This window comes from Homo sapiens, chromosome 4 (genome assembly GCF_000001405.40).
Source record: "Homo sapiens chromosome 4, GRCh38.p14 Primary Assembly".
Classification (NCBI taxonomy): Eukaryota; Metazoa; Chordata; class Mammalia; order Primates; family Hominidae; genus Homo; species Homo sapiens.
Genome location: NC_000004.12, coordinates 72,795,986 through 72,809,649, shown reverse-complemented (window position 1 = coordinate 72,809,649; position 13,664 = coordinate 72,795,986). Strand labels below are relative to the sequence as shown.

General features: G+C 38.2%; 1 pseudogene; it reads right to left on the bottom strand.

The window, feature by feature from the left end:
- Positions 1,266–2,463, bottom strand: HNRNPA1P67 (heterogeneous nuclear ribonucleoprotein A1 pseudogene 67; annotated as a pseudogene).

The window sequence follows — 13,664 nt, the reverse complement described above, 5'->3', positions numbered from 1 at the left end:
ACAGACCCACTTCCCTCCCACCTCACTCCCCTCCTGATAACTCTAATATGTTTGCCATTTCTATAATTTTGTCATTTCAAGAATGTTACATGAATGAAAAGATACAGAGTGTAACCTTTGTGGTTCACTTTTTCACTGGGAATAATTCTCTAGAGATTTGTCCAGCTTGTTCCTACATGTATCAACAGTTCATTCCTTTTTATTGTTCATTGATATTCAATGACATGGATGTACCACAGTTTCTTTAATGAGTCACTCCTTGAAGGACTGGGTTGTTTCCAGTTCTTGGCTGGTGCTAATAATTTTGCCACAAACATTTGTTTACAGATGTTTTTATAAGCATAAATCTCAATTTCTCTAGGGTAAATACCAAGGAATGCAGTTGCTAGGTCTTACGGTATTTGCAAGTTCAGTTTTTTTAAAAACTGTCAAACCATTTTCCAGAGTGACTGTACTATTTTACATTATGTCTCCCCTCCAATTTACATGCTGTTTATTTATTTTTCTTGTTTTAGTGCACTGACTAGAACTTCCAGCACTATACTGAATAGGAGTGCTGAGAGCAGAAATCCTTATCTTGCTCTTGGTCTAGAGGTAAATAATTCAGTTTTTCACCATTAAATATCATGTTAGCTATAGAGTTTTGTAGATTTTAAAAAATCAAGTTTAGGAAATTGCCCTGTATTTCTGTTTTTATAACAGTTAAAAAATTATAAATTGGTGTTAAACTTTGTTAAATTCATCTTATGAATTAATTGATGTGATTTTTCTTCTTCAGTCTGCTAATATGGTGGATTATATTGATTGATTCTCAACCACTTAACCAGCCTTGCATTTCTGAAATAAACTTCATTTGAATATGGTGTTTAATCATTTTATATATTGCTTACTTCTCTTTGCTAACATTTTGATAAGGATTTTTGCCTCTATACTGATGATAAATATTGGTCTGCAGTTTTCTTTTTGTTTTTAAAAAATGTCTTCTTCTTATTTTGGTATCAAGGCAATATTAGCTTCATAAAATGAATTGGAAAGTGGTTCCTCCTTTTCTATTGCTGGAAGAGGTTTTCCCCAGTTGGTGTTAATTCTTTAAATGTTATTATAAATATTATTTATTTATTTAAGAAGACACATTTATTAAGCATTATCAGACTATTACATTTAGCAATCAATGGCATGGGTGCAAAAACATATATATGTACCTTAAAACTCTTTGTTGGAATGCTTTACACTTTCCACAAAACAGAAACTAAAATAATCTGTTGTACAATTAGTCATAAATACAATCCTCAAGTTTTCCCCAGACTCATGAGTATTGTCTAAAAGATGTCTTCTTTGTAGCAGCTAGGCTCTGCCACCACTGTGCTTGGCTGAGTTCACAAATCTGCTGTGACCTGTAGCTTCCCCGTCACTTCTCTGGCTCTCCTCTCCTGTGAAATTTTCTTTCCTGGCAGGAATTGAAATCTGCCACTGCTATAGCTAGTGCTGCTACCAGAACTACCATAGCCACCTTGGTTTCGTGGTTTGGCAAAGTATTGGCCTCCCCCACGTTAGGGGCCAGAGCTTCTGCCTCCAAAGTTTCCTCCCTTTGTGGGTCCAAAATCTGAAGACAGATTGTTGTAATTGCCAAAATTGTTGTTGCTTCCACCACCTCCAAAATTGCTTCCATCATTACCAAATCCATTATAGCCATCCCCACAGCCACCATATCCACCACCACCATGGCTGCCACCAAAGCCATCATGACCACTGACGTTTCCTCCATGAACAAAGTTGTCATTCCCACCATAACCACCCCACGACCACCACCAAAGTTTCCAGATCCACTTCAACCTCTGGCTGGAGGAAGCACTAGCCATCTCTTGCTTTGACAGGGCTTTCCTAGTTTCACAGTTGTGGCCATTCACAGTGTGCTATTTCTGAATGACAGTCTTATCCACGGAGTCATGGTTGTCAAAGGTTACAAAGGCAAAGCCCCTTTTCTTGCCACTGCCTTGGTCAGTCATGATTTCAATCACTTCAATTTTCCCATACTGTTCAAAATAATCTCTTAGGTGATGTTCTTCAGTGTCTTCTTTAATGCCACCAACAAATATCTTTTTCACAGTTAAGTAGGCACCTGGTCTTTGAGAATCTTCTCTTGAGACAGCTCTCTTTGGTTTTACAACTCTCATCCACTTTATGTAGCCTTGCATCCATGGCTGCATCCACCTCCTCCATGTGACAAACCCAAAGCCCCTGGAGCACTTGGTGTTTTGGTCTCTCATTACCACACAGTCCATGAGCATTCCCCATTTTTCTGAATGGCTGCTCAGACTCTCATCGGTTGTTTGAAAGCTCTCTGCACCTGTTCAGGCTCTTTGGGAGATGCTGACTTAGACATCATGGCAGTGGGAAGAGAGACTTTAATGATTCTCCCTTGGCAGCATCCATAGGCAGAAAGGAGCAAACTAATGAATGTATTTCCATGGTTTATTTAGACATGTGTTAGTTTTCAAATATTTGGAGGTTTTACTCTTATCTTTCTTTTATTGATTTGTAGCTTGTTTCCCTTGTGGTCAGACAATACATTGTGTATTATTTCAATACTTTTAAATTGTTGGGGGTTTGTTTTATCTCTCAGGTTATAGTTTGTTTTGGTATATGTTCTATGCATGGGCTTTTGTAAATAATGTATATTCTGTTTTTTAAATGCCAATTATATTTTGATGGTTTTATGGTGTTGTTGAGTTCCTCTATATCCTTGCTGATTTTCTCTATAGTTTTGTTTGTTTGTTTTTGAGACAGGATCTTGCTCTGTCACCCAGGCCAGAATATGGTGGCATGACCATGTTTCTCTGCAGCCTCAACCCCAAGGGCTTCAGCAATCCTCCCACCACAGACTCCTGAGTAGCTGGGATTACAGGCCTGCGCCACTACACCCAGCTAATTTTTGTATTTTTTGTACAGACAGTGTTTCACCTTGTTGTTCAGGCTGGTCTCAAATTCCTGAGCTCAAGTGATCCTCCAGCCTCGGCTTCCCAAACTGCTGGAATTACAGGCAGAGCCACCATGCCTGGCCTTTTTGTATAGTTGTTCTACCAGTTGTTGATAGTGTAATGTTAAGGTTTCCAAATATAATTGTGGATTTATCTATGCTTCCTTTTTCTATCAGCTTTTGCTTCACATACTTTGCAACTGTGCTATTTGGTGCATTGACACTTAAGATTGTTATGTCATCTTCATGGATTTACCCTTTTATTATTATATAATGCCCTTTGGCTCTGGGAATCTTTTTTCTCTGAAGTCTACTTTGTTTAATACTGATATAGCCACTCTTGCTTTACTTTGATGGATGTTTGCATAAAATATCTTTTTCTATCCTTTTACTTTAAACCTGCCTATATCATTATATTTGAAGTGAGTTTCTTATAAAGAACATTTAATTCAGTCAATGCCTTTTAGTTGATATATTTAGACCTTTGATATTAATGTAATTATTAATCTGTCAGGCCTTAATTCTGCCATTTTTTGTTTTCTGTGTGTTCTTTCTGTTTTTTTGTTTTGTTTTGTTTTTATTTATTCTGTCTTCTGTGTGATACTGAAAGGTTTTATTCGATTCTACTTTGATTTATCCATAGTGTTTCTGAGTGTTTCTCTTTGTATAGCTTTTTAATGGCTGCTCTAAGTATTATATCATATATAAAAGCACAGCCTACTGGTGTTTTTATTTTATGAGCTTCAATAAAGTGTAGTAAATGTCCATTAGTTATGTCCATTTATGTTCCTTTCTCTTCTTTCATTTATAATATAACTGCATTAAATATTTCCTCTACATATGTTTAGAAACATATCAACTGGTGTTATAATTTTTGCTTCAGTCAAGAAGAAACAAAGCTTGTTGTATTCGCTCACATTTTTGTTTACTGTGTTCTTCTTTCCTGATGTTCCAAGGTTTCTTCTTTAGCATTTCCTTTATGTTTAGAGCACTTCCTTTAGCCATTCTTTTAGGATAGGTCTGGTAGGGACAAATGCTCTTACTTTCCCTTCATTTGATGATGTATTGATTTCCTCTTCATTTCTGATGCATATTTTTCCTGGGTGTGATTCGTTTGCCAGTTCTTTTCTCTCAGCTTGTGAGAAGTATTATGCTGCTTCCTTCTGTTCTTCATGGTGTCTGATGAGAAATCTGCTGTCATTCTGTTTTTTTCTTTTTTTCCTATAGTAAGCAGTTATTTCTCTCTCGCTGCTTTGAAGATTTTTTTCTTTGTGTTTAGTTTTCAGATGTGCCTTGGTGTGGATTTTCTTGAGTTTGTCCTGTTTGAGATTCACTCAGCTTCTTAAATCTCTAGGTTTACATTTCTGGCTAACTTTGGGAATTTCCAGTCATTATTTCTTCAAGTACTATTTCAGCCCTACCTTTTTTCTTCTCTCCTTTTGGAACTTTGTCAGACATTTGTAACTCCCGTGCCATCCTGGTGTTGGCATCTATTAATTGTCCTTTCATTCAGGTTGAGATTTTCTGGTTCTTCATATGATGAGTGATTTTCTACTGAAACCTAGATATTTCCATATTATGTTGTGAGGCACGGCATCTAATTGTAACCTTCTGTTTTAATTGACTTTTTTGGATAGTACTGTGGCAGGAGAAGGGTGCTGCCACCTCTTTATGACTTCACACATATGGAAATAGAAGTTCAGGTCCCCACTTGGCCTCTGTTCATACCCAATAGATGGTAGTCCTCTTCTGCCTGATGAACAGGAGTAGGAATTGTAGCTACCCGGTGGTCTCTGGTGACTCCTTGATTGGGGTGGATTCCTTATTGCTGAATGATCAATTGTCAAAGTCTGGATCATTTTTGGGGTCCTGATGTCCCCAACCAGCCTGACTTCTTCTCATCTTTCAGAGTTCTTACATTTCTTTCATTTGTCATGTACAAGGTTCTTAGTTGTACTTTGTAAAAGGAACGGGGAAAGTATGTCTACTTTATTATTCAAGAAACAGAAATTCTTGATAATGTCATTTTGCAACTTACTTTTTCACTCAGTAATATGTTATGAAGTTCATTCTATTTAAATGAATACTAATTGATATCCTTTCAATTTATGAATATTATTCAATTGTATTACTATTACCATAGTTTCTTTTAAACTAATCCATTATTATTATTATTTTTAGAAACAAAGTCTCACTCTGCCACCCAGGCTGGAGTGCAGTGGCACAATCTTGGCTCACTGCAACCTCCACCTCCCAGGCTCAAGTGATCCTCCCACCTCAGCCTCTCAAGTAGCTGGGACTACAAGTGTGTGTCACCACATTCAGCTAATTTTTGTATTTTTCTGTGGAGACAAGGTTTTGCCATGATGCCCAGGCTTGTCTCAAACTCCTGGACTCAATCTATTCTCCTGCCTCAGCCTCCCAAAGTGCTAGGTTTACAGGCATGAGCCACTACTCCTAGCTAATCCATTATTAATATACATTTAATTGAATAATAAATGATGCTCTCCTGAACATCTCTTGATGCAGAGGTCTGCATTCTCTTTTCTATCATTCTGACAATTAAAAAGGTATGTAAACCACATATATTTTCCAGTGTTTGGTGAAAATTCATTTTGTGTCACCACCTGTCTAGAACTCATAGGAGGCTGTTTATAGTCTTTATTTATCCTGCTCAGTTTTACACTTTATATATTTGTTAGAGAAATATTAAGATATTTAATTGTGAGTTACTGACCAGACTGCTGGGATTTGTTATGAAACATGTAATCTATGCATCTTATTATTTTCTTAGATCCAAATGTTCTGAATTCTTGCAAACTTCTCTTAAATATTCTTAGGATAACTTTCTAGGAGAGTGATAGCCAAATTTTGTGTCATACTGTGAAACTGTACTTCTAAAATGCAATTTTAGTAGTACTATGTGCTCTTAACACAGCATATGTCCGTTTCTACATGTTCTTGACAACACTGGATAATATCATACAATAGTGTAAATTTATAATTTATTCTTTGTGAGATTATAAATAGAATCAATAAATGTACATTTTAGAAAAATCTAGAAAATACAGAGTAGTATAAAGAAGAAAATTTAAAACACTTGTAGTATTTCTTGTCAGTCGTAATAACTCATTGTCACGAGTTATTACCACCACTAATATTTTGGCTTATTCTCTTCATCTCTACTTTTAAATACAAAATTGGAATTACACTCTATGTAGCCAATTTTTATATTCCATTTTTCATTAATGCTGTATTGTAGACAATTACCTTTGTCTCTAAATATTTTTATAGAACATGATTTAAATAATTGTATATTTTTTCATAAAAGAGATTATAATTCATATAGCTGATTCCTTACTTTTGGGTAAATGAATTGTTTTCAAATTTTTCCCATTGTAATTACATTGTAATAAACATAATTGTAAATATTCTCAAGTTTAAGTGTTAGAAGAAAGCTTGGCCACAGCTTGGATAATACATCTTAAAATTGAAATCCCATCTTTGCAAAAGTGTTTCAGTTCACTCTGATTATGGTCTGATATGGTTAGGTTTTGTGTGCCCACCCAAATATCATCTTGAATTATAATCCTCATAATCCCTATAATCCCCACATCTCAAGGGAGAGACCAGGTGGAGGTGGTTGAATCATGGGGGCAGTTTCCGCCATGTTGTTCTCATGATAGTGAGTGAGTTTTATAAGATCTGATGGTTTTATAAGTGTTTGGTAGTTCCTCCTGTATGTTCATTCTTCTTCCTGCCACCTTATGAAGAAGGTGCCTTGCTTCCCCTTTGCCTTCCACCATAATTGAAATTTCCTGGGGCCTCCCCAGCCATGTGAAACTGTGAGTCAATTAAACCTCGTTCCTTTATAAATTATCCAGGCTCGGGCAGTTCTTTATAGCAGTGGGAAAATGAATTAATTCAGTAAATTGGTACCATAGAGACTGGGGTACTGCTATAAGAATACCTGAAAATGTGGAAGTGACTTTTGAACTGGGTAACAGACAGAGGCTGGAACACTTTGGAGGGCTCAGAAGAAGACAGGAAGATGTGGGAAGGTCTGGAATTTTCTAGAGACTTGCTGAATGGCTTTGGCCAAAATGCTGATGGTGATATGAGCAATGAAATCCAGGTTGAGGTGGTCTCAGATGAAGATGAGGAACTTGTTGGGAACTGGAATAAAGGTTACTCTTGCTATGCTTTAGTAGAGACAGGAGGCATTTTGTCCCTGCCCTAGAGATCTGTGGAACTTTGAACTTGAAAGAGATTATTTAGGGTATGAGTGGGAGAAATTTCTAAGCAGCAAAGTGTTCAAGAAATGATGTGAGTGCTCTTAAAAGCATTTAGTTTTTTTTTCTTTTTTATTATGCTTTAAGTTCTAGGGTACATGTACAAATGTGCAGGTTTTTTACATATGCATACATGTGCCATGTTGGTGTGCTGCACCCATTAACTCGTCATTTACGTTAGGTATTTCTCCTAATGCTATCCCTCCCCCAACCCCACCTCATGACAGGCCCCGGTGTTGTGTTCCTCACCCTGTGTCCAGGTGTTCTCATTGTTCATTTCCCACCTATGAGTGAGAACATGAGGTGTTTTGTTTTCTGTTCTTGCGACAGTTTACTCAGAATGATGGTTTCCAGCTTCATCCATGTTCCTACAAAGGACATAAATTCATCCTTTTTTATGGTTCCATAGTATTCCATGGTGTATATGTGCCACATTTTCTTAATCCAGTCTATCATTGATGGACATTTGGGTTGGTTCCCAGTCTTTGCTATTGTGAATAGTGCCGCAATAAACATACACGTGCACGTGTCTTTATAGTAGCATGATTTATAATCCTCTGGGTATATACCCAGTAATGGGATGGTTGGGTCAAATGGTATTTCTAGTTCTAGATCCTTGAGGTATCACCACACTGTCTTCCACAATTGTTGAACTAGTTTACACTCCCACCAACAGTGTAGAAGTGTTCCTATTTCTCCACATCCTCTCCAGCACCTGTTGTTTCCTGACTTTTTAATGATCACCATTCTAACTGGCATGAGATGGTATCTCATTGTGGTTTTGATTTGCATTTCTCTGAGGCCAGTGATGATGAGCATTTTTTCATGTGTCTGTTGGCTGCATAAATGTCTTCTTTTGAGAAGTGTCTGTTTATATCCTTCACCCACTTTTTGATGGGGTTATTTGATTTTTTCTTGTAAATTTGTTTAAGTTCTTTGTAGATTCTGGATATTAGTCCTTTGTCAGGTGGGTAGATTGCAAAAATTTTCTCCCATTCTGTAGGTTGCCTGTTCACTCTGATGGTAGTTTCTTTTGCTGTGCAGAAGCTCTTTAGTTTAATTGGATCCCATTTGTCTACTTTGGCTTTTGTTGCCACTGCTTTTGGTGTTTTAGACATGAAGTCCTTGCCCATGCCTATGTCCTGAATGGTATTGCCTAGGTTTTCTTCTAGGGTTTTTATGGTTTTAGGTCTAAGATTTAAGTCTTTCATCCATCTTGAATTAATTTTTGTATAAGATGTAAGGAAGGGATCCAGTTTCAGCTTTCTACATATGGCTAGCCAGTTTTCCCAGTACCATTTGTTAAATAGGGAATCCTTCCTGCATTTCTTGTTTTTGTCAGGTTTGTCAAAGATCAGATAGTTGTAGATGTGTGGTATTATTTCTGAGGGCTCTGTTCTGCTCCGTTGATCTGTATCTCTGTTTTGGTACCATGCTGTTTTGGTTACTTTAGCCTTGTACTATAGTTTAAAGTCAGGTAGTGTGATACCTGCAGCTTTGTTCTTTTTGCTTACGATTGTCTTGGCAATGTGAGCTCTTTTTTTGTTCCATATGAACTTTAAAGAAGTTTTTTCCAATTCTGTGAAGAAAGTCATTGGTAGCTTGATGGGGATAGCATTGAATCTATAAATTACCTTGGGCAGTATGGCCATTTTCACGATATTGATTCTTGCTATCCATGAGCATGGAATGTTCTTGCATTTGTTTGTGTCCTCCTTTATTTCATTGAGCAGTGGTTCATAATTCTCCTTGAAGAGGTCCTTCATATCCCTTGTAAGTTGGATTCCTAGGTATTTTATTCTCTTTGAAGCAATTGTGAATGGGAGTTCACTCATGATTTGGCTCTCTGTTTGTCTGTTATTGGTGTATAAGAATGCTTGTGATTTTTGCACATTGATTTTGTATGCTGAGACTTTGCTGAAGTTGCTTATCAGCTTAAGGAGATTTTGGGCTGAGACAATGGGGTTTTCTAAATATAAAATCATGTCATCTGCAAACAGGAACAATTTGACTTCCTCTTTTCCTAATTGAATACCCTTAATTTCTTTGTCCTGCCTGATTGCCCTGGCCAGGACTTCCAACACTATGTTGAATAGGAGTGATGAGAGAGGGCATCCCTGTCTTGTGCCAGTTTTCAAAGGGAATGCTTCCAGTTTTTGCCCATTCAGTATGATACTGGCTGTCAGTTTGTCATAAATAGCTCATATTATTTTGAGATACGTCCCATCAATACCCAGTTTATTGTCAGTTTTTAGCATGAAGGGCTGTCGAATTTTATCGAAAGCCTTTTCTGCATCTACTGAGATAATCATGTGGTTTTTGCCTTTGGTTCTGTTTATATGACGGATTACATTTATTGATTCGCAGATGTTGAACCAGCTTTGCATCCCAGGGATGAAGCCAACTTGATCAATGTGGATAAGCTTTTTGATGTGCTGCTGGATTCTGTTAGTTGGTATTTTATTGAGGATTTTTGCATTGATGTTCATCAGGGATATTGGTCTGAAATTCTCTTTTTTGTTGTGTCTCTGCCAGGCTTTCGTATCAGGATGATGCTGCCTCATAAAATGAGTTAGGGAGGATTCCCTCTTTTTCTAGTGATTGGAATAGTTTCAGAAGGAATGGCCCTAGCTCCTCTTTGTACCTCTGGTAGAATTCGGCAGTGAATCCATCTGGACCTGGATTTAGAGACACACATAGACTCAAAAAAAAGGGATGGAGGAAGATCTATGAAGCAAATGGAAAACAAAACAAGCAGGGGTTTCAATCCTAATCTCTGATAAAACAGACTTTAAACCAGCAAAGATCAAACGAGACAAAGATGGCCATTCCATAATGGTAAAGGGATCAATTCAACAAAAAAAGCTAACTATCCTAAATATATATGCACCCAATACAGGAGCACCCAGATTCATAAAGCAAGTCCTTAGAGACCTACAAAGAGACTTATACTCCCACCTAATAATAATGGGAAACTTTAACACCCTACTCTCAACATGAGACAGATCAATGAAACAGAGAATTAACAAGGATATTCAGGACTTGAACTCAGCTTTGCACCAAGTGGACCTAATAGACATCTACAGAACTTTCCACCCCAGATCAACAGAATATACATTCTTCTCAGCACCGCATCGCACTTATTCCAAAATTGACCACATAGTTGGAAGTAAAGCACTCCTCAGCAAATGTAAAATAACAGGAATTGTAACAAACTGTCTCTCAGACCACAGTGTAATCAAATTAGAACTCAGGATTAAGAAATTCACTCAAAACCGCTCAACTACATGGAAACTGAACAACCTGCTCCTGAGTGACTAGTGGGTAAATAAGGATATGAAGGCAGAAATAAAGACATTCTTTTAAACCAATGAGAACAACGACACAGCATACCAGAATCTCTGGTACACATTTAAAGCAGTGTGTAGAGGGAAATTTATTGCACTAAATGCCCACAAGAGAAAGCAGGAAAGATCTAAAATCAACATCCTAACACCACAATTAAAAGAACTAGAGAAGCGAGAGTAAACACATTCAAAAGCTAGCAGCAGGCAAGAAATAACTAAGATCAGAGCAGAACTGAAGGAGATAGAGAGACAAAATACTCTCCAAAAAATCAATGAATCCAGTAGCTGGTTTTTTGAAAAGATCAACAAAATTGATAGATCACTAGCAAGACTAATAAAGAAGAAAAGAGAAAAGAATCAAATAGACACAATAAGAAATGATAAAGGGGATATCACCCCGATCCCACAGAAATACAAACTATCATCAGAGAATACTATAAACACCTCTATGCAAATAAACTAGAAAATCTAGAAGAAATGGATAAATTCCTGGACACATACACCCTTCCAAGACTAAACCAGGAAGAAGTTGAATCCCTGAATAGACCAATAACAGGCTCTGAAATTGAGGCAATAATTAATAGCCTACCAACCAAAAAAAGCATCCAGTTTTATGCATTCACAAAGGGATTATTTGGAATTGTATCTTATGTTTAAAAGGAAGCCGATCATAAAACTTTAGAAAATTTGCAGCTTGAGAATGTGATAGAAATAAAAAGCCCATTTTCTGAGGGGAATTTCAAGCCAGCTGCAGAAATTTGCATAAGTAACAAGAAATCAAATGTTAATCACTGAGGAAATGAGGAAAATGTCTCCAGGGCATATCAGGGTCTTCATGGTAGACCCTCCCATCACAGGAATGGAGACCTAGGAGAAAGAAATGGTTTCCTGGGCCAGGTTCAGGGCTTTGCTGCTTTGTGTAGTCTCAGGACTTGGTGCCCTGCATCCCAGAAATGGCTAGGAGGGGCCAACCTACAGCTCAGGCTGTTGCTTCAGAGGGTGTAAGCCCAAAGCCTTGGTGGCTTCCAAGTGGTGTTGGGCCTGTGGGTGCACAAAAGTCAAGAACTGAGGTTTTAGAACCTCTGCCTACATATCAGAGGATGTATCAAAAGGCCTGGATGTCCAGGCAGAGGTTTGCTGCAAGGGTGTAGCCTTCATGGAGAACCTCTGCTAGGGAAGTCCAGAAAAAAATGTGGCTGGGAGCCCCCATACAGAGCCCCCACTGGGAAACTGCCTAGTGGAACTGTGGGAGGAGGGCCATCACCCTCTAGACCCCAGAATGGTGGATTCACTGACAGCTTGCATTGTGCACCTGGAAAAACCACAGAGAGTCAATGCCAGCCCATGAAAGCAGCTAAGGGGGTTGTACCCTGCAAAGCCACAGGGGCGGAGCTGCCCTAGGCCATAGGAACCCACCTCTGGCATCAGTGTAACCTAGATGCAAGAAATGGAGTCAAAGGAGATCATTTCAGAGTTTTAAGATTTAATGACTGTCTTGCTGGATATCAGACTTGCATGGGGCCTGTAGTCCAATTTCTCCCATTTGGAGAATGGGAGTATTTACCCAATGCTTGCACCCCCTCTGTATCTAGGAAGTAACTAATTTGCTTTGATTTTACAGGCCTATAGGCAGAAGGGACTTGCCTTGTTTCAGATGAGACTTTGGACTTGGGCTTTGGGTTAATGCTAGAAAAAATTCAGACTTCAGGGAATTGAAGGAATGATTGGTTTTTAAATGTGAAAGGGACATGGGATTTGGGAGGGGCCAGAGGCAGAATGATATGGTTAGGCTTTGCATCCCCACCCAAATATCATCTTGAATTGTAATCCCCATAATTCCCATAATCCCCACATGTCAAGGGAGAGACCAGGTGGAGGTGGTTGAATCATGGGGATAGTTCCCTCATGCTTTTCTCTTGATATGAGTGAGTTCTCATGAGATATGATGGTTTTATAAGTGTTTGGTAAGTTCTTCCTGTGTTCATTCTCATTCCTGTCACCTTTGAAGAAAGTGTGTTGCTTCTCCTTTGCCTTCTGTCATGATTGTAAGTTTCCTGGGGCCTCCCCAGCCATGCTGAACTGTGAGCCAAATGGACCTCTGTCCTTTATAGATCAACCAGTGTCAGGCCATTCTTTATAGCAATGTGAAAACAGACTAATACATAGTCTTATTTATTATGTCATAAAAAAGATACAAGAATAAAAATTGTGAGAAATTGGTTTTAGTTCCTTCCTCTCTTACTTCTCTCTCTTATTCTCCCTTGCTCCTTCCTCCAGAAGTATTTAAATACAAATAATTGATTCCTGTTGTCAAGAAGCTCTACCAGCCTCAGTGGCTCACACCTCTAATCCCAGCATTTTAGAAGGCCAAGGCAGGAGGATTACTTGGGCTCAGGAGTTCAAGACCAGCATGGGCAACATAATGAGACCTTGTCTCTACAAATAATAATAATAATAATGATAAAATAACCAGATGTGGTGGTGCAAACCTGTGGTCCCAGCTACTCGGGAGGCTGAGGCAGAAGAACTGCTGGAGCCGAGGCTATAGTGAGTCAAGATTGCACCACTACATTCCAGCCTGGCTGACAGAGCAAGACCCTGTCAAAAATAAATAAATAAATAAAAACTGCTCAAACTAGAACAAGCAGAGGAGACACTTTGGTTCTCACACTAACTCATTCTATCTCACTCTGGAACCAGGCAAAGCCACTTGGAATTTTGCCAGTATTTCCTTCAACTATAAAGTGAACGTAGTTGAGTTAGTAGTTATCTAAGGTTACTCTTAGCTCCTAAACTTTATGTTTTCCTTGCTGTGGGCTATCATAATATCACTGAGGTGATGGCTCCACCATCTGTTTCCAGGTTTTTGACCATTGTTGTTTTATTTTTATTGTTGTTATTTAAATTTGTTTTTCATATGAAGGAAATGGGCGTGTGCATCCTTTAGTTGCCATGTGAAGATTTTTCTATATTTAGTTTATCTGTCCTGGGGTGAGTGGAAGAGCCAATCACCACCCTGAATTTCTTAATACACTATGCGTACACCAC